The 22,548-nt window shown below is 48.9% G+C and overlaps 1 protein-coding gene and 1 pseudogene across 5 annotated transcripts in view, besides 6 other annotated features; one reads left to right on the forward strand and one right to left on the reverse strand.

Moving 5' to 3' along the window:
• Positions 1-3,531, forward strand: part of TM9SF4 (transmembrane 9 superfamily member 4) — a 57,543-nt gene extending 54,012 nt beyond the window's left edge. For all 5 annotated transcript variants that reach the window (NM_001363731.2, XM_017028155.2, NM_014742.4 and 2 more), the window contains one exon: positions 1,570-3,531. In NM_001363731.2, the coding sequence (NP_001350660.1) occupies positions 1,570-1,719 (150 nt within the window). In that variant the 3' untranslated portion in view covers positions 1,720-3,531. The remainder of the gene's footprint in view (positions 1-1,569) is intronic.
• Positions 1,455-1,955: an enhancer, noted in NCBI's record as "H3K4me1 hESC enhancer chr20:30752983-30753483 (GRCh37/hg19 assembly coordinates)". NCBI's record gives its function as "activates a minimal SCP1, AML or CMV promoter by ChIP-STARR-seq in naive H9 embryonic stem cells {active_cell/tissue: H9 hESC(naive)}" and the evidence as "EXISTENCE:reporter gene assay evidence [ECO:0000049][PMID:30033119]".
• Positions 4,821-5,115: an enhancer, noted in NCBI's record as "tiled region #8915; K562 Activating DNase unmatched - State 8:EnhW". NCBI's record gives its function as "activates a minimal TATA promoter and a strong SV40 promoter by Sharpr-MPRA in K562 cells {active_cell/tissue: K562}" and the evidence as "EXISTENCE:reporter gene assay evidence [ECO:0000049][PMID:27701403]".
• RSL24D1P6 (ribosomal L24 domain containing 1 pseudogene 6) lies at positions 6,573-7,053 on the reverse strand (annotated as a pseudogene).
• Positions 11,355-11,956: an enhancer, noted in NCBI's record as "H3K27ac-H3K4me1 hESC enhancer chr20:30762883-30763484 (GRCh37/hg19 assembly coordinates)". NCBI's record gives its function as "activates a minimal SCP1, AML or CMV promoter by ChIP-STARR-seq in primed H9 embryonic stem cells {active_cell/tissue: H9 hESC(primed)}" and the evidence as "EXISTENCE:reporter gene assay evidence [ECO:0000049][PMID:30033119]".
• Positions 11,957-12,556: an enhancer, noted in NCBI's record as "H3K27ac-H3K4me1 hESC enhancer chr20:30763485-30764084 (GRCh37/hg19 assembly coordinates)". NCBI's record gives its function as "activates a minimal SCP1, AML or CMV promoter by ChIP-STARR-seq in primed H9 embryonic stem cells {active_cell/tissue: H9 hESC(primed)}" and the evidence as "EXISTENCE:reporter gene assay evidence [ECO:0000049][PMID:30033119]".
• Positions 16,731-16,911: a silencer, noted in NCBI's record as "fragment chr20:30768259-30768439 (GRCh37/hg19 assembly coordinates)". NCBI's record gives its function as "represses an EF-1alpha promoter that drives an FKBP-Casp9 reporter gene in an ReSE screen in HepG2 liver carcinoma cells {active_cell/tissue: HepG2}" and the evidence as "EXISTENCE:reporter gene assay evidence [ECO:0000049][PMID:32094911]".
• Positions 18,332-18,832: an enhancer, noted in NCBI's record as "H3K27ac hESC enhancer chr20:30769860-30770360 (GRCh37/hg19 assembly coordinates)". NCBI's record gives its function as "activates a minimal SCP1, AML or CMV promoter by ChIP-STARR-seq in naive H9 embryonic stem cells {active_cell/tissue: H9 hESC(naive)}" and the evidence as "EXISTENCE:reporter gene assay evidence [ECO:0000049][PMID:30033119]".

Below are 22,548 nucleotides of genomic sequence, written 5' to 3' on the forward strand. Positions count from 1 at the left end.
CTCTGCCTCCTGAGTAGCTGGGGTTACAGGTGCACACCACCACGCCCGGCTAATTTTGTGTTTTTAGCAGAGACAGGGTTTCTCCATGTTGGCCAGGCTGGTCTTGAACTCCTGACCTCATGTGATCCGTCTGCCTCAGCCTCCCAAAGTGCTGGGATTACAGGCGTGAGCCACCGCACCTGGCCTATTTTGTGCTAGGATTGATGGCCCCAACAGGACCAGGTGTTTTGAGTGTTCCTCAAAACATCTGGAATATGGAAGACAAGGAACACGGTTAAACAAAACTAGAGATCACATCACAGCCTCTTGTCCTTCCTCCCTTCTGCTCCAGTCTTCTTGCTCTGCTCAAAAAATCTCTTCCTCCAGCCCCAATGCCTTATGTATAAAATGAGGAACTTTCTGGCTCTGCCTCTTTGCCTCGTCCCTTGCCTCCTTTTACCACGGTTCTGCTCCTTGTCCCTCCCCCACCCCTCCCCCGACCACCAGCCACAAGAATGCATATAACAAGAGATGGAGGCTGGGTGCATATGGTTCACACCTATAATCCTAGCGTTTTCAGAGGTGGGAGGATAACTTAAGTCCAAGTGTCTGAGACCAGCCTGGGCAATAGAGCAAGACACCATTGCTAGAAAAAATATTAGCTGGGTGTGGTGGCACACACCTATAGTCTGAGCTACTTGGGAGGCTGAGGCAGGAGGATCCCTTGAGCCCAGGAGGGTGAGGCTGTAGTGAGCTGTGATCATGCCACTGTGCTCTAGTCTGGGTAATAGAGGGAGACCCTGTCCCTTTAAAGAAAAGGGGTTAGGGGAGAGATGCGGGGCTGAGCCTGAAAACATGGCCTTCACCCCTTAGGCTTAGGAGAGGGCTTCAAATGGTGACCTATTTTGTTTTCTTTGTTTCTTTACTGTTTTCTTCTGGGCTACTGGCATTCTGTGACCATGTGTCTGCCTGTGAGTCCTGGGACAGGCCCTACTCAGGCCCTGGGCATATCTTGATACCAAGGTTCCACATTAGTTCCCTTTGTAAATAACACAGATCCCCAGCATCTCTGCCCAGCCTCTAAACTCTACCCCAGTTAAAAAGGAGTCCAAAATGCTCCAAGATCAAAATCTCTGTGAGATGCTAACAAAAGTGACAAGCATTCTGGGGAAGAGAGGAATGAATGGAGGCTGAGGCGGGCTGATGGGGCTCCTGGTCCTGAAGCTGGGCATCCTGGACACCCCTCCCCTCCCCCACCCACTCCGACTGCTTCTCCAGCCATGCGGGAGTGTTGCCATACTGATCTGGGGTCTGTGGGGGACCAGGAAGGGCACAGCTGTGGCCATTCCTTTTGTGGCATTCTGGGCCTGGCCCCTGAGGCTATGAGCATTAGGGCAATACACAGGCCTGGTCCAGATGAAGCAGAGCTGTGCCCATGAACCCTGCCTGCCGCTTGCCACCCACTGGAGCACGCCCCTTCCCCTGGCCAGGCCTCAGTTTCCCCATGATATCAGTGAGAGTGGGGCCCCAGTTCGCCATGCAGCCTGGCACTAAGCATGCACCCTGTCTTCTTTCTGCTCGTGGCCGCAGCTGGACATCGTGGAGTTCATCCCCTCTCTCCTCTACTTTGGCTACACGGCCCTCATGGTCTTGTCCTTCTGGCTGCTAACGGGTACCATCGGCTTCTATGCAGCCTACATGTTTGTTCGCAAGATCTATGCTGCTGTGAAGATAGACTGATTGGAGTGGACCACGGCCAAGCTTGCTCCGTCCTCGGACAGGAAGCCACCCTGCGTGGGGGACTGCAGGCACGCAAAATAAAATAACTCCTGCTCGTTTGGAATGTAACTCCTGGCACAGTGTTCCTGGATCCTGGGGCTGCGTGGGGGGCGGGAGGGCCTGTAGATAATCTTGCGTTTTTCGTCATCTTATTCCAGTTCTGTGGGGGATGAGTTTTTTTGTGGGTTGCTTTTTCTTCAGTGCTAAGAAAGTTCCCTCCAACAGGAACTCTCTGACCTGTTTATTCAGGTGTATTTCTGGTTTGGATTTTTTTTTCCTTCTTTGTTTTAACAAATGGATCCAGGATGGATAAATCCACCGAGATAAGGGTTTTGGTCACTGTCTCCACCTCAGTTCCTCAGGGCTGTTGGCCACCCTATGACTAACTGGAAGAGGACACGCCAGAGCTTCAGTGAGGTTTCCGAGCCTCTCCCTGCCCATCCTCACCACTGAGGCCACGACAAAGCACAGCTCCAGCTCGGACAGCACCCTCAGTGCCAGCCAGCCTCTGCCAGACCTCTCTTTCCCTCTTCTCCCCAGCCTCCTCCAGGGCTGCCCAAGGCAGGGTTTCCAGCCAGGCCTCGGGGTCATCTTTTCACCAGGAGCAAACCCAAGTCTTAGTTGCTACAAGAAAATCCCCTGGAAGTACTGGGGGCCAGGTTCCCCAGACAGCAGGAATTGCCCCTGTTCAGAGCAGCCGGAGTTTGCTGGACCACAAGGAAGAAGAGAAGAGACTTGCAGTGAACTGTTTTTGTGCCAAGAAACCCTGGACCTGGGGCCAAGTATTTCCCAAGCCAAGCATCCACTTGTCTGTGTCTGGGAAGGGATGGCCAAGGCCGCTAGGGTCCTTACCCCTCAGGATCACTCCCCAGCCCTTTCCTCAGGAGGTACCGCTCTCCAAGGTGTGCTAGCAGTGGGCCCTGCCCAACTTCAGGCAGAACAGGGAGGCCCAGAGATTACAGATCCCCTCCTGTAAGTGGCCAGGCATTCTCTCCCTGCCCTCTCTGGCCTCTGGGGTCATACTCACTTCTTTAGCCAGCCCCATCCCCTCCACCCCACACCTGAGTTCTTGCCTCCTCCTTTTGGGGACACCCAAAACACTGCTTGTGAGAAGGAAGATGGAAGGTAAGTTCTGTCGTTCTTTCCCCAATCCCCAGGAATGGACAAGAAGCCAACTTAGAAAGAAGGGTCTCACGTGGCTGGCCTGGCTCCTCCGTAGACCCCTGTTCTTTTCAACCTCTGCCCACCCGTGCATGTCATCACAAACATTTGCTCTTAAGTTACAAGAGACCACATCCACCCAGGGATTAGGGTTCAAGTAGCAGCTGCTAACCCTTGCACCAGCCCTTGTGGGACTCCCAACACAAGACAAAGCTCAGGATGCTGGTGATGCTAGGAAGATGTCCCTCCCCTCACTGCCCCACATTCTCCCAGTGGCTCTACCAGCCTCACCCATCAAACCAGTGAATTTCTCAATCTTGCCTCACAGTGACTGCAGCGCCAAGCGGCATCCACCAAGCATCAAGTTGGAGAAAAGGGAACCCAAGCAGTAGAGAGCGATATTGGAGTCTTTTGTTCATTCAAATCTTGGATTTTTTTTTTTCCCTAAGAGATTCTCTTTTTAGGGGGAATGGGAAACGGACACCTCATAAAGGGTTCAAAGATCATCAATTTTTCTGACTTTTTAAATCATTATCATTATTATTTTTAATTAAAAAAATGCCTGTATGCCTTTTTTTGGTCGGATTGTAAATAAATATACCATTGTCCTACTGTTTTGTCTTGAATCTCATGCAGGGGTTGGAGGTCTGAGGTGAGACACCTTCCCCGAGTGGGTTGAGTTGCACAGTTTCCCCCGAAGCTCATTCTCGTGTCACACTTCAGGGCTCAAGCCACTGTTGTTCCCTGCCTGGTACAAGTCCATTGCCTAGCCCCTCCATACTAAATTGCAGTCATTTGCTCTTCTGATCCCACAAGCAGGAAATGACAATCAAGTGTGTTTTGGTAGCAGCAAGATCTGGTTTTGGATTCCCAGCTTCAGTCTTTTACTGTCAGCTCATCTCACTCTATGAAACCCAGTTCTTCAATTGTAAGCAACAGAAACATCGGTCAAACTGGTTTTAGCCCAAAAATGAATTGATTGGTTCTTAAGTCATCAAGGATTTTGTTTATTTTGCTTCAGGTCTGGCTGGATCCAGGGGCTCAAAGGATAGCCTTAGGGCTCTTTCCCCTTTTCCACTGTGCTCCTCTCCGGCGTCACTCTGTCCTGTTATCCACAGTCTTCCTCCTGATGGGTGAGGCAGGGAGGGCAGGATGCCAATCACTCCAGACTTACATGATCCACTTGGGTATGCCGGGGGGCTGGGGTAGGGGAAGATGTCCCTTCCCACTTCAGTTTATTCAATATAGAGGAATTTCAGGAAACATTTCTGATTGGCCCAGCTTGGATTATTATTTGAACATCTTGCACCAATCACTATATCCAGGGGGTTGGAGTATGATTTGGGGCCACTTTCCCTGAAGGTGTTGGATACTGTGAATTTCAGCCCTACCAGAATTACTTAGAATGGTTGATGAGGAAAGAACCATTTCCCATGGTAAGGGATGCGAAACAGACCAAAACAGTGGCCTGTTACCCACCACCCCGCCACCCCAACCCCAAGCCTCAGTTCCTCATCTGCAATGGGAAAGGTGCTTGTTACTATTTATGGAGTACTTCCTGTGTTCTGATGTTCCAAACACTTTCCATGGGTTAGCCCATTTAATCTTGGATATGATACAAGATAACAACGTGCCCCTGAGACAGCTTCTGTTATTAGCCCCCTTTTACAGAGGTGGTCACTGAGGCACCAAGCAGTTGAGGTAACCTGCTGGGGCAGGATGGGGGGTGATGTCCCATGATGGGTGGAGTAGTGTTCACCTGGGACAGCCAGACTTCTGAATCTGTCCTTCCAACCTCTCTAGCCGCCTTTTTAAAGGGCTGTGTGTGTGTGTGTGTGTGTAAAATTATATGTAATTGATGTAAAATGAACTGCAGTTTGATAAGTCTTGATACACACACCCATGAAATTATCACCACAATCTCAATTGTGAGCATACCCAGGTTTCCTCATGCCTTTCTTTATAATCCTGCCCTCTAGCCTCTCAACATCATGCTTGTCCCCTCCAAACCTCATGTGGAAATTTGATCCCCAGTGTTGGAGGTGGAGCCTAATGGGAAGTGTTTGGGTCATGGGAGCAGATTCCTCATGAATAGATTAGTGCACTGGGGGAGGTGGGAGCAGAGGAGGTGAGTGAGTTCTCTCTTAGCTCCTAAGAAAGCTGGTTGTTAAAAAGAGCCTGGCACCTCCCTGCAACCCCCACTTCTCTCCCCATGTAATCTCTGCACATGCCAGCTCTCCACCTTCCACCATGAGCAGAAGGAACTCACCAGAAGCAAATGCCCAATCTTGAACTTTCCAGCTGTCAGAATCATGAGCCAGACTGGGCACGGTGGCTCAGGCCTGTAAGCCCAACACTCTGGGAGGCTGAAACAGGAGGATCACTTGAGGCCAGGAGAAAGTCAGCCTGGGCAACAAAGCAAGACCTCATCTCTAAAAACAAATTTTAAAAATTTGTTAAAAACTCGTGAGCTGGCCGGGTGCGGTGGCTCATGCCTGTAATCCCAGCATTTTGGGAGGCCGAGGCGGGCAGATTACCTGAGGTCAGGAGTTCGAGACCAGCCTGTACAACATTGTAAAACCCTGTCTCTACTAAAAATACAAAAATTAGCCAGGCGTGGTGGCCCACGCATGTAATCCTAGCTACTCAGGAGGCTGAGCCCAGGAGATGGAGGTTGCAGTAAGCCAAGATTGTACCACTGCACTCCAGCCTAGCCAACAGAGCAAGACTCTGAAAAGAAAAAAAAAAAAAAATTCATGAGCCAAGTAAACCTTTTTTTCTTTATAAATTACCCAGCCTCAGGTATTCCTTATAGCAACACAAAACAGACTAAGACACCATCCCCAATAAGCCACTGATCTTTCTTTCTGTCGCTATAGATTAATTTGCATCTCCCAGAGCTTTATATAAGGAGAATCATACGCTACATATTACGCTATGTATGTATACATTGCTAGGCTAGAAAAATAAAGTTTGTTCTACCAGGAATCACAAGTTAGAACTGAGTATTCTCCAAAGTGGAAATTACAGAGTGTAAGGTCATTCCAGGCAAAGATTATTCATTCAGTCCTCATACCCAACATTCACAACTCCCTATCAGAAGGGTTAAACCAGGTCAAAACAGTCCGGCATAATTAGGCTTCATCAAACAATGCCATTATGTTCTTCTAAGATGCAAATAAACCAAAACAGGAAATACTAAAATCAAAATAATACTTGATGCTGTCATACAAATTGTTAGTTCCTTGCTGTATTCCCCCTTCTATAACATTAATAAAGGGAATATCTTACTGCAAAGAATATTTTATTTTATACATCACTAGCCATGAATTTTTGCCATTAGTTATTATACAAATGCTGCCTAATGCCATTAGCCAAATGGCATAACCATTTTATGTCCACCATTCACTTCTATAGTTATAAGTAGAATTTTCATGATTTACATATGTACATCTATCAGTGAGGATTTAACACTGAGATACAATCTAACATCTGTAATATCTGATGTTTTAAAGTAGATAGCAATGTAGGAAAGATATATTTTAATCACTTTTCATTTAAGTGACCTTATGTAAAACATTAACCAATAGTTTAGCAGTTCCACGTCTCCAAGGGACATTTTCAAATGTATGTAAAGAAATGGTTACAGATTTTTAAGAAGCATCTTCCATGTCCACATCCTGTTGTAATCTCTGTGCCATTTTCTCTTCCAGCTGCTTCCCTTTGCCTACAAGAGGGGCTCGGAAAGATGGATGTTTTTCTTGACTTCTTTGATATCCTGAACTTCTCTACGTAGCCCTTTATGTTTCTTCAGTCTGTTCATTATAAATTTAGCTTGGCATTTCTGTTTGATCTCTTCAACTCTCTTCATTGCATCAATAGTTTTATTCCATAGCTCTCACTGATATTTGATAAGTGCATTTCTATGTTTTTCCAATTCAAATGAATTATCCACTGTAAGCCCTTTACCAGCTGTTTTCCAGAATGCTTTGGTCCACCTACCTTTGTGAGGATTGTGCTTCTTTTTAAAGTTTTTATGACATTTAGATTTACAAAATCTGAACACCTTGCAATCATTGCGGACAGACATCATGCCATGGCCAGGGTAGATGGGCCCCGAACAGAAATAACACTCTTGAGACACATGTTGAACCCACGTGGGTCCCCACCGACCAAACGCCAGGCTTGAGAGGAAGTCAGGTGTATGTTTAACCTAAACTGCCACACTCTTTTCTAAGGTGGTGTATCATTTTATGTTACCATCAGCAGTATACAAGAGTGCCAGTTCCTTTACATCCTAATAACACTTGGTATGGTTAATATTTTTAATTTTAGCCATTCTTACAGGTATATAACATCTTGTGATTTTAATTTCTATTTCCCTAATGACATGTTGCACATCTTTTCATGTGCTTATTTGTTATTGTTGGTGACAAATGTATCTTCTTTGGTGAAGTAGATGTTCAAATTTATGTTCATTTGTATTGGGTTTGGAGTTATTGTCAAGTTTTGAGAGTTATTTATGTATTCTGCAGACAAGTCCTTTATCGGTAAATGCTTTGCAAAGATTTTCTTAGTCTGTGTATGGCTTGTGTTTTCATTGAAAACTATGTCTTTTGAAGAGCACAGGTTTTTTATTTTGATGAAGTCTAATTTATAAACAAATAATTTGTTTAAGCAATTTAATTTGTTCTTTTTTGAATTTTTGGTTTGTTTGATTTTTGAAACAGGGGTTTCACTATGTTACCCAGGCTAGTCTCAAACTCCTGGCCTCAAGCGATCCTCTGGCCTCAGCCTCCTAGGTAGCTGGGATTACAGACACATGTCACCGTGCCCAGCTCCTTTCATGGATTTTGCTTTTTGGTGTTAGACATCTTTGCTTAACTCAAGGTCACAGTGAATTTCTCCTGGGTTTTCTTTTTTTCTTTTTTGTTGTGGCAGAGTCTTGCTCTGTGACACAGGCTGGAGCACAGTGGCATGATGATAGCTCACTGCAATCATGATCAAGCATCAAGTGATCCTCCCACCTCAGCCTCCCAAATAGCTGGAACCACAGGTGTGCACCACCACGCCTGGCGAATTTTTTTTTTTCTATTTTTGTAGAGACAGTGTCTCACCTTGTTGCCCGGGCTGATCTCAAATCCCTGGGCTCAAGCAATCCTTTTGCTCAGCCTCCCAAGTAGCTGGGATTATAGGCTTGAGCCAAAATGCACCTGGCTCGAATGTCTCTCTTTATTTTATTTTTATTTATTTATTTGAGACAGGATCTCACTCTGTCACTCAGGCTGGAGCGCAGTGGCAGTGGCATAATCACAGCTCACTGCTGCCTTGACCTCCTGGGCTCAAATAGTCCTCTCCCCTCAGCCTCCCAGGTAGCTGGGACTATAGGCATGCACTGCCATGCCCAGCTAGTTATTTTTTGTCAAGACAGGTCTTCCTATGTTGCCTAGGCTGGCCTCAAACTTCGGGGCTCAAGCAGTCCTCCTGCCTTGGCCTCCCAAATTGCTGGAATTACAGGCATGAGCCTCTGTGCCCAGCTGTGGAGTTGATATCTTAACAATATTAAGTCTTCCAACCCATGAACAAATTATACCTCTCAATTTAGGTCATCTTTAATTTCTCTCAGCAGTGTTTTGTATCTTCAGCATCTAGGTCTTCCACTTCTTTTGTCAGATTTATTCCTCAGTGTTTCATATTTTTGATGCTATTGTAAATGGTAGTTTTTTATTTTTATTTTTTGAGACAGAGTTTTGCTCTTGCTGCCCAGGCTGGAGTGCAATGGTGTGATCTCGGCTCACTGCAACCTCCGCCTCCTGGGTTCAAGCGATTCTCCTGCCTCAGCTGGGATTACAGGCATGTGCCACCACGCCCGGCTAATTTTGTATTTTTAGTAGAGACGTGGTTTCTCCATGTTGGTCAGGCTGGTCTTGAACTCCAACCTCAGGTGATCTGCCTGCCTCGGCCTCCCAAAGTGCTGGGATTACAGGCATGAGCCACTACGCCTGGTGTAAATGGTATGTTTTTAAATTTTTATTTATTTATTTAGAGATGGAGTCTTGCTCTGTCACCCAGTCTGGGGTGCAGTGGCGGGATCTTGGCTCACTGCAACCTCTGCCTCCTGGGTTCAAGCAATTCTTGTGCCTCAGCCTCCCAAGCAGCTGGGACCACAGGTGCATGCCACCACACCCGGCTAATTTTTACATTTTTCAGTAGAGATTAGATTTCTCCATGTTAGCCAGGCTGGTCTCAAACTCCTGACCTCAAGTGTTCTGCCTGCCTCAACTTCCAAAAGTGCTGGGATTACAGGTGTGAGTCGCTGTGCCTGGCCTGTAAATGGTATGTTTGTATTTCTGATTTTTCATTGCTACTGTTGTACAGAAATAACAGTTGATTTTTAAAATACTGATCTTATACCCTAAAACCTTGCTAACTTATTAGTTCTAGTAGCTTTTTTAGATCTCATTGGATTTTCTCCATAGATGATCATGTTGTCTGTGAATAAAGACAGTTTTACTTCTTTCTTTCCAATCTGGATGCCTTTCATTTCTGTTTCTTGCCTGATTGCACTGGCTACAATATCCAATACAATACCTGAATGGTGAAAGTAGACATACCTGTCTTTATTTTTTGGGTTTTTTTGTTTGTTTGTTTGTTTGTTTGTTTGTTTGTTTGAGAGAGAGTCTCTGTCGCCCAGGCTGGAGTGCAGTGGTGTGATCTCGGCTCACTGCAAGCTCCGCCTCCTGGGTTCAAGTGATTCTCCTGCCTCAGCCTCCCGAATAGCTGGGATTATAGGTGCCTGCCACTGGACTTGGCTAATTTTTGTATTTTTAGTAGAGACAGGGTTTTGCCATGTTGGCCATGCTGGTCTCGAACTCCTGACCTCAGGTGATCCACCTGCTGATTCAGCCTCCCAAAGTGTGGGATTACAGGCATAAGCCACCACAGCCAGCCCATCCCTGTCTTTAATTTGCTCTTTTCTAGTGTTTTAAAGTGGAAGCTAGGGCATTTATTTGAGGGCTTTCTTTTCTAATGTAGGTGTTTAGTGCTATAAACTTCTTTTAAAGTCTCACTGTAATGGCATCCCAGAAATTCTGCTATATTGTGTTTTCATTGTCATTCCATTCAAAATACTTTCTAATTTTCATTTGATTTCTTTTTTTGAGTCATGTGTTATTTAGAAGTGTGTTATTTAGTTCCCAAATATTGGGGGATTTTTTTCAAGGATCCTTAGGTTACTTATGTCTAATTTCTAATTCTATTGTGGACAGAGACTTTGTATGACTTGGGTCCTTTTGACTTTATTAAGACTTGTTTTATGGCTCAAAATATGGTCTATCTTGATAAAGGTTCACGCACAATTGAAAAGAATGGTATTCTGTGTTCTTGGGTACAGGGTTCTATAAATATCAGTCAGGTCAAGTTGATTGATAATGGTGTTCAAGTATATGATATCTTTACTGATTTTCTGCCTGCTTATTCTATCAATGATTGAGAAAGGGGTACTAAAATCTCTGGCGGTAATTATAGATTTTTATATTTCTCTTTGCAGTTCTATTTTTTGCTATAGGTATTTTGTTAGGTACATACTATCTTTTGGATTAATTTATCCCTAGTAATTTATGTAATTTATCTATTTTGTCACATATTGATATAGCCAATCCCACTTGCTTCTTACTGTTAGTGTGGTATATCTTTTCCATCCTTTTACTTTTAACCTATTTCCATTTGTATAGTTAAAATGTGTTTCTTATAGGCAGCATATAGTTTGGTCTTTCTTTCTTTTTTCCAATCATACAATCTCTGCTTTTTAATTGGTATGTTTAGACCACTTAATTTTTTTTTTTTTTTTTGAGACAGAGTCTCACTGTTGCCCAGGCTGGAGTGCAGTGTTGCAATCTCAGTTCACTGCAACCCCTGCCTCCCGGGTTCAAGTGATTCTCCTGCCTCAGCCTCCGTAATAGCTGGGACTACAGGCACGTGCCACCACACCTGGCTAATTTTTGTATTTTTAGTAGAGGTGTGGTTTCACCATGTTGACCAGGCTGGTCTCGAACTCCTGACCTCAGGTGATCCGTCCACCTCAGCCTCCCAAAGTGCTGGGATTACAGGCGTGAGCCACCGCACCCGGCCTCCAGTGTATTTTTCATCTCAGACATTGTCTTTTTTTTTAATGTCTACGTATTTCATTTGGATCTTTTTTCATATTGTTCATGTCTCTATTTTATTATGGTAAAATACACAACATAAAATTAACTGTTTTAATATTTGTAAGTATACAATTCAGTGGCATCAGGTACAGTCTCAATGTTGTGCAACCATCACCACTATCTATCTACAGAATATTTTCATCATCTCAAATTGAAACTGGGCTGGGCGTGGTGGCTCACACCTGTAATCCCAGCACTTCAGGAGGCCAAGGCAGGCAGGTCAGCTGAGGTCAGGGGTTTGAGACCAGCCTGGCAAACATGGTGAAACCCCATCTCTACTAAAAATACAAAAATTAGCTGGGTGTTGTGGCACGTGCCTATAATCCCAGCTCCTCGGGAGGCTGAGGCAGGAGAATTGCTTGAACCCCTGGGAGGTGGAGGTTGCAAGTGAGCCGAGATCACACCACTGCACTCCAGCCTGGGCAACAAAGCAAGACTGTCTTAAAAAAAAAAAAAAAAAAGCCCTCTCCCCCTCCCCCTCCCCCTCCCCCTCCCCCTCCCCCTCCCTCTCCCTCTCCCCACGGTCTCCCTCTCATGCGGAGCCGAAGCTGGACTGTACTGCTGCCATCTCGGCTCACTGCAACCTCCCTGCCTGATTCTCCTGCCTCAGCCTGCCGAGTGCCTGCGATTGCAGGCACGCGCCGCCACGCCTGACTGGTTTTGGTGGAGACGGGGTTTCGCTGTGTTGGCCGGGCCGGTCTCCAGCCCCTAACCGCGAGTGATCCGCCAGCCTTGGCCTCCCGAGGTGCCGGGATTGCAGACGGAGTCTCGTTCACTCAGTGCTCAATGGTGCCCAGGCTGGAGTGCAGTGGCGTGATCTCGGCTCACTACAACCTACACCTCCCAGCCGCCTGCCTTGGCCTCCCAAAGTGCCGAGATTGCAGCCTCTGCCCGGCCGCCACCCCGTCTGGGAAGTGAGGAGTGTCTCTGCCTGGCCGCCCATCGTCTGGGATGTGAGGAGCCCCTCTGCCTGGCTGCCCAGTCTGGAAAGTGAGGAGCGTCTGCGCCCGGCCGCCATCCCATCTAGGAAGTGAGGAGCGCCTCTTCCCAGCCGCCATCACATCTAGGAAGTGAGGAGCGTCTCTGCCCGGCTGCCCATCGTCTGAGATGTGGGGAGCGCCTCTGCCCCGCCGCCCCATCTGGGTTGTGAGGAGCGCCTCTGCCCGGCCGAGACCCCATCTGGGAGGTGAGGAGCATCTCTGCCCGGCCGCCCTGTCTGAGAAGTGAGGAGACCCTCTGCCTGGCAACCACCCCGTATGAGAAGTGAGGAGCCCCTCCGCCCGGCAGCTGCCCCGTCTGAGAAGTGAGGAGCCTCTCCGCCCGGCAGCCACCCCATCTGGGAAGTGAGGAGCGTCTCCGCCCGGCAGCCGCCCCATCCGGGAGGGAGGTGGGGGGGCCAGCCCCCCGCCCGGCCAGCCGTGCCGTCCGGGAGGGAGGTGGGGGGGTCAGCCCCCTGCCCGGCCAGCCGCCCCGTCCGGGAGGTGAGGGGCGCCTCTGCCCGGCCGCCCCTACTGGGAAGTGAGGAACCCCTCAGCCTGGCCAGCCACCCCGTCCGGGAGGGAGATGGGGGGGTCAGCCCCCCCACCCGGCCAGCCGCCCCGTCCGGGAGGGAGGTGGGGGGGTCAGCCCTCCGCCCGGCCAGCCGCCCCGTCTGGGAGGTGAGGGGCACCTCTGCCCGGCCGCCCCTACTGGGAAGTGAGGAGCCCCTCTGCCCGGCCAGCCGCCGGGTCTGGGAGGGAGGTGGGGGGGTCAGCCCCCCGCCCGGCCAGCCGCCCTGTCCGGGAGGGAGGTGGGGGGGTCAGCCCTCCGCCCGGCCAGCCGCCCCGTCTGGGAGGTGAGGGGCGCCTCTGCCCGGCCGCCCCTACTGGGAAGTGAGGAGCCCCTCTGCCCGGCCAGCCGCCCGGTCCGGGAGGGAGGTGGGGGGGTCAGCCCCCCGCCCGGCCAGCCGCCCCGTCCGGGAGGGAGGTGGGGGGGTCAGCCCTCCGCCCGGCCAGCCGCCCCGTCTGGGAGGTGAGGGGTGCCTCTGCCCGGCCGCCCCTACTGGGAAGTGAGGAGCCCCTCTGCCCGGCCAGCCGCCCGGTCCGGGAGGGAGGTGGGGGGGTCAGCCCCCCGCCCGGCCAGCCGCCCCGTCCGGGAGGGAGGTGGGGGGGTCAGCCCCCTGCCCGGCCAGCCGCCCCGTCCGGGAGGTGAGGGGCGCCTCTGCCCGGCCGCCCCTACTGGGAAGTGAGGAGCCCCTCTGCCCGGCCAGCCGCCCGGTCCGGGAGGGAGGTGGGGGGGTCAGCCCCCCGCCCGGCCAGCCGCCCCGTCCGGGAGGGAGGTGGGGGGGTCAGCCCTCCGCCCGGCCAGCCGCCCCGTCTGGGAGGTGAGGGGCGCCTCTGCCCGGCCGCCCCTACTGGGAAGTGAGGAGCCCCTCTGCCCGGCCAGCCGCCGGGTCTGGGAGGGAGGTGGGGGGGTCAGCCCCCCGCCCGGCCAGCCGCCCCGTCCGGGAGGTGAGGGGCGCCTCTGCCCGGCCGCCCCTACTGGGAAGTGAGGAGCCCCTCTGCCCGGCCACCACCCCGTCTGGGAGGTGTGCCCAACAGCTCATTGAGAACGGGCCAGGATGACAATGGCGGCTTTGTGGAATAGAAAGGCGGGAAAGGTGGGGAAAAGATTGAGAAATCGGATGGTTGCCGTGTCTGTGTAGAAAGAAGTAGACATGGGAGACTTTTCATTTTGTTCTGCACTAAGAAAAATTCTTCTGCCTTGGGGAAAAAAAAAAAAACAAAACAAAACAAACAAAAAAAAAGTGAAACTGTATACTCATTACACATTAACTCTCCATTCTCCGCTCCCCCAACCCCTGGTAACCACCATTCTACTTTTTGTCTCTGAATTTCACTACTCTAAGTGCCTCATATAAGTGGAATCCTACAATATTTGCCCTTTTTGCCTGCCTTATTATACTTAACATAACGTCTTCCAGGTTGACCCATGTTGTAGCTGTGTCAGAATCTCACTCCAGCCAGGCATGGTGGCTCACACCTGTAATCCCAGCATTCTGGAGGCCAAGGCAGCTGGATCACCTGAGGTCAGGGGTTCGAAACCAGCCTGGCCAACGTGGCGGAGACCACCCGGTCTCAACCAAAAATACAAAAATTAGCCAGGTGTGGTGGCATGTGCCTGTAATCCCAGCTACTCGGGAGGCTGAGGCACAAGAATCACTTGAACCCAGGAAGCAGAGGTTGCAGTGAGCCAAGATCGAGCCACTGCACTCCAGCCTGGCCGACAGAGGACAGAGCAAGACTCCATCTCAATTAAAAAAAAAAAAACAAACTCCTTTTGTAAGGCTATATTATAGTCTGTCATATTTTGTTTATTCATCCATCAATGGACATTTGGGTTGCTTTCACCTTTTTGCTATTGTGAATAATGCTGCACTGGTATAAAAATATCTATTTCAGCCCCTGATTTCAGTTCTTCTGGGTACATACCCAGGTGTAGAATTGTTGAATCATATGGTGATTCTTTAATTTTTTGAGGAACTGCCATATTGTTTTCTACAGTGGCTGTGCCATTTTATACTCCCATCAGCAATGCACAAAGACTCCGATTTCTCCAAGGCCTTGCCAATACTTATTTTCTGTTTTGTTTTTTTTAATAATACCTATCCTAGTGTAGATGAAGTGGTATCTCACTGTGATTTTGATTTGCATTTATCTACTTATTAGTGATGTTGAGCATCTTTTCGTATGCTTATTGACTGTTTGTATATCTTCTTTGAATAAATGTCTAATCAAGTTCTTTTAATCAAGTTGTTTTCTTGTTGCACTATAGAAGCTATTTGTATACTGTGTATATTAAACCCATATCAGGTATCTGATTTGCAAATATTTTCTCCCATTTTGTGGGTTGCCTTTTTACTCTCTTGATAGTGTCCTATTTTGAACAAAAGTTTAATTAATGTATTTAGAGACAGAGTCTTGCTATGTTGCCCAGACTGGAGTACAGTGGCTGTTCACAGATGCAGTGATTGCACACTGCAGCCTCAAACTCCCGAGCTCAAGCGAACCTCCCACTTCAGCCTCCCAAGTAGTTGAAACTATAGACATGGGCCACCAAGCCTAGCCAAAAGTTTAATTTTGATGAATTCCAATTTATCTATTTTTTTCTTCTGTTGCCTGTGCTGTTGGTGTCATATCCAAAAGATCATCACCAAACCCACTGTTATGAAACTTTTCTCCTATGTCTTCTAAGAATATTATAGTTTTAGCCCTTACACTTAGGTCTTTGATCCATTTTGAGTTCATGTTTGTATGTGGTATGTGGTCCAAATTCATTCTTTTGCATGTGGATATTCAGTTCTCCCAACACCATTTGTTAAAAAGACTGTCCTTTTTCCATTGAATGGTTTTGGCACTCCTGTCAAAAATCTTTTAACCATATATATGAGGGTCTATTTAATTTGTTGAACATGTGGAATAAAATTAGAGTAACTTGTACTTACCTGCCCGTTTTAACATCGGTTTCAGTTGTGGGTTATGCTTGCTTATTTCCCTCATTATGGATTGCATTGCCTGCTACTTTGTAGAACTGATACTCTTTGATTGGGTGCCAGACATTGTGAGTTTCACCTTGTTGGGTGCTGGATATATTTGTAATCTGTAAATCCTCTTGAGCTTTCTTCTGGGACATTTGAGTTACTTGGAAACGGTTTAATCCTTTTGGGTCTTGCTCACACAAGATTTTTTTTAGGCAAATCCAACCAGTGCTCATTCAAAAGCTAATTATTTGCCCTTAGTGAGGCAAGGCCTCCCTGAGTCCTCTCAACACCCCATGACACTCAGCATGGCTGGTGGGAACAGACACAGTCCCCACCCAGTGAGCAGCGGGCACTGTTCCCTAAATCCTTCCTGATGGGCCTTTCCTTGGCCTGGGGTCCTTCCCTCTCACACATGTGCTCATCAGTATCCTTCTGGGTTTCAGGGATGCCTCCACAGCTCTCCAGGGGTCTCTCTCTAGGCAGCTGTCTCCTCTCTGGCACTCTGTCCTACACACTTCTGTCCTACACACTTTGGTTACCTTGCCCTGACATTTAGTGCCATCTCCTCAACTCATGGTGTTCCCTGGCTCCACTTTAATTCCCCCTCCCTGTGTTGCAGCCTGAAAACTCTCTCAAGGCTGGGGGCAATCACAGGGCTCACCTTTGTTTCCCATCTGTCTGGAATCTCTGTCCTTTATTGTTCAACGCCCAGAGCCTTGAAAACCACTATTTCATGTATTTTGTCTAGTTTTACTTTTGTTTCAGGCGGACGAATATATCTGATCTCTGTTACTCCACCTTGCCTAGAAACAGAAGTCTCTGCACTGCTTTTTTTATTTTTATTTTTAGAGACAGAGTTTCACTCTTGTTGCCCAGGCTGGAGTGCAATGGCATCATCTCAGCTCACTGCAACCTCCACCTTCTGGGTTCAAGCGATTCTCCTGCTTCAGCCTCACAAGTAGCTGGGATTACAGGCGCCTGCCACCACGCCCAGCTAATTTTTTTTTGTATTTTTAGTAAAGACAGGGTTTCGCCAAGTTGGCCAGGCTGGTCTCAAACTCCTGACTTCAGGTGATCCTCCCACCTTGGCCTCCCAAAGTGCTGGGATTACAGGTGTGGCCACTGCGCCCGGTCTGCACCGCCTTTTTTTACCTGTAAGATCACAGGGCCTCTGCGAAGCACTGTATGAGTGATTTTTTGTTTTGTTTTGTTTTGAGACAGGGTCTTGCTCTGTTGCCCAGGTCAGAGTGCAGTGGCACAATCTCAGCTCACTTCAACCTCCACCTCCCAGGTTCAAGCAATCTTCCCACCTCAGCCTCCGAATAGCTGGGACTACAGGCGCCCACAACCACACTCAGCTAATTTTTTTTTTTTTTTTTTTTGAGATGGAGTCTCACTCTGTCGCCCAGGCTGGAGTGCAGAGGCGCGATCTCGGCTCACTGCAAGCTCCGCTTCCCAGGTTCACGCCATTCTCCTGCCTCAGCCTCCTGAGTAGCTGGGACTACAGACGCCCGCCACCATGCCCAGCTAATTTTTTTTTTTTTTTTTGTATTTTCAGTAGAGACGGGGTTTCACCATGTTAGCCAGGATGGTCTCGATCTCCTGACCTTGTAATCCGCCCGCCTCGGCCTCCCAAAGTGCTGGGATTACAGGCGTGAGCCACCACACCTGGCCCCACTCAGCTAATTTTTATATGTTTTTTGTAGAGACAGGGTTTCACAATGTTGCCCAGGCTGGTCTCGAACTCCTAGACTCAAGTGATGTGCCCACCTTGGCCTCCCAAAGTGCTGGGATTACAGGTGTGAGCCACCACACCCAGCCAAGTTCTTTGAAGTGAAAGAGACACTCACACAATTGATGCTCAATCTCTCCTCACTCACCAAAGGAGAGTCTAAAGGGCCTGCCTCCTAGGAATCTTAGTTTGGCAGTGACTTGGCTCAACTTAAGGAACTTTCTAGGTCCAGAACCCTTGCAACTGGACCTGTGCTAGCCTAGAAGTCAGCACCCTCTAACCCTGAGGGCCATCATGGGGTGAAAGTGCCAGCTGTGAGGTCTCACAGAAAAGCCAAAGTGTGACTGTGAGCGCCTAGAGGCAGTGGTCTTAGCTTGCCTCTAGGCACTGGACATTATGAGCAGACATCCATTCCGCGTCAATGCTTGGTCTACCACTACCCTGCTCCCCCTTGCCAATAACTAATTCAAGACTGGGCATGTGACCCAGTTCTAGTCAGTAAGGTATAGGACCAGGAAAATCTACAGTGGCTTCTGGGAAAGGCTTCCTCCATTTTAAGAGGAGCCATGGTAAGACATAGTCTCCCCTCTCTGGAATTGCCATATTCCAGTGTGGACACTTGGGGCTGCTGCCACCATCTTGGCACCAACCTGAGGATGGAACTAACAAGAAGGATGGCAGATCAGAGAAGGCCCGAGCCTGGACGCATCATTGAGGTGATGGATCAAATAGCCCCACTGCCTCAATTCCCCTCTGAATATTCATATAAGGAAAAAAGACTTAGTGGTTCAGTTAGATGCCACCAAAAGCAAAAGCATTGTCACTGAGCCAGCCACCTGGAGGGCTGGAGGTGCATGGAGGGGAGCACCTTAAAGGTACTTTTACCTCCTGCTAAGGAGTTTTGACTTTCTCCTTTGGATGAGAAAAGGGCCAATAGCTGTGAAAAGACATGCCTAAGGCCATGTAGGGGGAAGTGGCAAGAGCAGCCCTGCACAGGCCTATCAGCCTTCCAGCGGGTGCCTGATGCACTACAGCCCTGTGCCCCAGGATCCTGAGTCAGCTTTGATGGTGGGGCCTGTGGGTGGAGGCCTCAAAGTTCACCGACTCCAGTCAACGTTTAGTTCTCCTGCTGAGCAAGAGCAAGCAAGCACTGGGGACTTCCTTGAATTTTTGTGCTGAAATGGTATCCTTGGAGGAAAATATCAAAGTCCCCCGAGCTGTAATCAAGGCAGTTGCAGATTACAAGTAATTGCCATAGTTTCGGGACAGGTTTTTCTTGGATTTAAAAGAGCCTGTCCAAAGTTCCTTCCCGGGCCAACAGAACAGAACAGGGCAGGCACCTGAGACAGAGGGGAGCAGAACCCTGGGATCCAAGGCTTGTGTTTGCTCTCCACGCCAGAGCAGGAAGCCCCCTCTGTACCCTGGCCTCCTTCCTCCACGCTTGGAGCATGTGTAGGCCACGTGGCCATGTCTCTGTAGTAGGAGTCGGGAATGGGCTCCGGGACATTTATTGCCTCAATTCCAAGACTGCCTGGAAAAGGGCGGTACTGCCTTGGGCAGTAGAGAGTTCCTATCGCTAGAGATACAAACCCCAGAAGGGCCTTCAGCAGGCATCTGATGCCTTCATACATGCTGTCGCCTCGCCCACCAGGAAGACCCTCCTGAACCTCAAAGATGTGACACATGCATTCATTCATTTCACAAAGAACTACTTGTGCCAGGTGCTGCTCTAGGTAAGGGGGATTTAGCAATGAATAAAACAAAGTGCCTCTGGGTGTGGCGGCTCACGCCTGTAATCCCAGCACTTTGGCCAAGGTTGGCAGATCACCTGAGGTCAGGAGTTCGAGACCAGCCTGGCCAACATGGGGAAACCCCATCTCTACTAAAAATACGAAAATTAGCCAGGTATGGTGGTGCATGCCTGTAATCCCAGCTACACAGGAGGCCGAGGCACAAGAATTGCTTGAACCCAGGAGGAGGGGGTTGCAGTGAGCTGAGATTATGCCACTGCACTCCAACCTGGGTGACAGATCCAGACTCCGTCTCAAAAAAAAAAAAAAAAAAATTCCCGAAGAGTGTAGAGAAAAAAAACAGATAAAATGAATATACAATGTGATATCAGGTGGTTGTTAAGTGCTATAACAGAAAGGGGACAGAGAGTGACAGGGTGAGTTTTAGAAAGGGTGGTCGGGGAAGGCTTCCCTGGAAGAGGTGTAACTAATGTTTGAACTGATAAACTTTAATGAAGGCAGGAGCCGGCCATGCAAACATCTGGAGAAGCAGCGTCTAGGCAGAGGGAAGAGGAAGCAAGGTCTTCAGCCAGGTTTGAAGACTAGCAAGAGGCTGGTGTAGACTGGGCATGGTGGCTCACACCTGAAATCCTAGCACTTTGGGAGGCCAAGGTGGGCAAATTGCCTGAGCCCAGGAGTTCAAGACCAACCTGGACAACATGGTGAAACCCCATCTCTACAAAAAATACAAAAATTGGTTGGGCATGGTGGCACACACCTGTAGTTCCAGCTACTCAGGAGGCTGAGGTGGGAGGATCACCTGAGCCCTGGGAGGTTGAGGCTGCAGTGAACCTTGATCGTGCCACTGCACTCCAGCTTGGGCAACAGAGTGAGACTCCATCTCAAAAAAAAAAATGGCTGCTGGAGCTCGAAAGTGGTCTGGCGGCGGAGAAGCATAGGAGATGAAGTTGGATTGGTGACTGGAAGTCAGATCAGGAGGGTCTTGCAGGCCAGGCAGAGCATGTTGGCTTTTCCTCTGTATATTGCAGCCATTGGGTTTGGAGCAGAAGGGCATGGTCTGACTCAGGCTTAGACAGCCACACTCTGCCTGCTGCACCCATATAAAGCCCTGGCACATGGTAGGTGGTTAATAAACTTTGGTGATTATTATCAATGTTCTTCAGCTGCACCATTGGACCCCGGAGCTCACTGAGGGCAGGGACCAGAATGGTCATCCATGCCTATTATAGCTGGTGCTAAGATGTGTGGATATATCAGTGACTCAGGGCATGAATGAGTGAGCAAGCTTGGAGTGGGTTCTGAGGAGGAGACTCATGCCCCCAGGGCAGGTGGGACATGCCGTTGGTGCCATGTAAAGGAAGCAAGCCACTGGCTATGCCACAGAGAGAACAGGTAGGCAGGTAAGTGCCCATTTTAGAAAAGAACCATTGCCTGGGCCCTAGGGGAATGCAGGATGCAGCTGGGCCCAAGTATGGCTGCAGGAGCCAACGCAGCCTGCAAACCAGCAGGCAAGAGTCAGGCAAACCACATGGGGCACCACCTCCTAGAATCACCAGGATGCTTACAGGCTCACCCTGATCCCCCCGGGAACATTAGAGGCAGTCATCTGGCACAAAACAGCACCCAGAGGGTGCAGCCTAGACAGGCACTGGTGCCCAGATTCTGGTTTTAGGCTGTACATGGGAGGTGGCAGACACTGTTGTGGGCTGGGGAAATCATGGAGGGCTTCCTAGAAGAGCTATAGCCTAGATGGACAGATAAGGTTCAAACTGAAGACACTAGGGGTCTATAACTGCAGACACTCCTCCAGACATGCCCTGTGAGATCACTCCACCTCTGAACCATGCCTGATACCCCTCCTCACTATCCACAGGATAATGCCTTGGCTTGGCATTCAAGAGTTCCTATCTTCAGAAAGTGGCCTCTTCAGGTATTGCTCTTGAAAAAAAAAATAATAAAAGATAAGTAAAAGAAAAAAGTGGCCTCAATCTACCCATTCAGCTTTGCCTCTCCCAAGCAGCCAAACCCACAGCACATGCTATACGTTAACCACGCCGCACATTTTCCCATCCAGTGCCTTCGCTCATGTTGTTCGCTCTGCCAGGAATTCCCTTCTCTGGCTCCACTTTCCAAACTACTGCCTATTCTTTAACACCCAGCTCGTGACCCAACTTCAGAGAAGTCTCCGCCCTCTGGTCCCACATCATCACATACCTGGTGAACTATAAGCCACGTTGAACACAGTTGGGTTTTGTCTCCTTGGATGACCGTTGGATACCAGTTACACCTCTTGCCCCGGTGTAATTATTAGTCGTGACCCTTTCATTCCCAGATATGTTCCAGCTGGATGGCAAATTAAACAGTCACCCTTCATCACCCACACCGTTCTCCACCCAACTCAAATCCTTTGGGCAGGAACTATGCCTTTGTCAGAGCCCAGCACAGTACTCTGTATGCTGGAATAAAGTCAGTCACTCATACCAGTAATCTTTGAGACACTGGACACTAAACTATGGGGAAGCAAAGCAGCAGAAACATGTGTCCCTGTTCTCCTGCCACATGTGAAAGGAGGTGGAAGAAGGTAAGAAAAGATCATTTCAGAGAGGCCACGTGCAGTGGCTCACGCCTGTAATACCAGCACTTTGGGAGGTGGAGGCAGGTGGATCACTTGAGGTCAGGAGTTTGAGACCAGCCTGGCCAACGTGGTGAAACCCTGTTTCTACTAAAAATACAAAAATTAGCTGGGTGTGGTGGCGGGCACCTGCAGTCCCAGCTACTAGGGAGGCTAAGGCAGGAGAATCGCTTGAACCCGGGAGGCGGAGGCTGCAGTGAGCCAAGATAGCACCACTGCACTCCAGCCTGGGTGACAGAGTGAGACCCTGTCTCAAAAACGAAAAAAAAAAATCATTTCAGAGAGTTACAAGTGACATGGAAAAAATCATGAAGGGAGGGGTAGAGGCTAATTTTGGACAGGCTGGGCAGGGAAGGCCTCTGAAGTGGCGTTTGAGGACTGAATGAATTGAGGGAGCCATGAGATGAGAATATCTGCAGGAGGAAAATCCTAGCTAGGAGAGGGAAAAAAGCAAGTGCTAAAATCCTGAGGCTGGAACATGCTTAGTGTGTTTAAAGAACAGGAGAGAGGCCAGTGTTGGGGGCACAGAGAGAGCAAAGCAGAAGTGGATGGGAGATGTTGGGAGGGACCAGCAAATGCAGGGCTTTGTCGCCTGCAATAAGGAATTTTATATATATATATATATAAATTTTTTTTTTGAGACGGAGTCTTACTCTGTCACCCAGGCTGGAGCGCAATGGCGAATGGCATGGTCTCAGCTTACTGCAACCTCCGCCTCCCAGGTTCAAGCGATTCTCCTGCCTCAGCCTCCTGAGTAGCTGGGACTACAGGCACCCGCCACCATATCC

Source organism: Homo sapiens, chromosome 20, assembly GCF_000001405.40.
Source record: "Homo sapiens chromosome 20, GRCh38.p14 Primary Assembly".
Classification (NCBI taxonomy): Eukaryota; Metazoa; Chordata; class Mammalia; order Primates; family Hominidae; genus Homo; species Homo sapiens.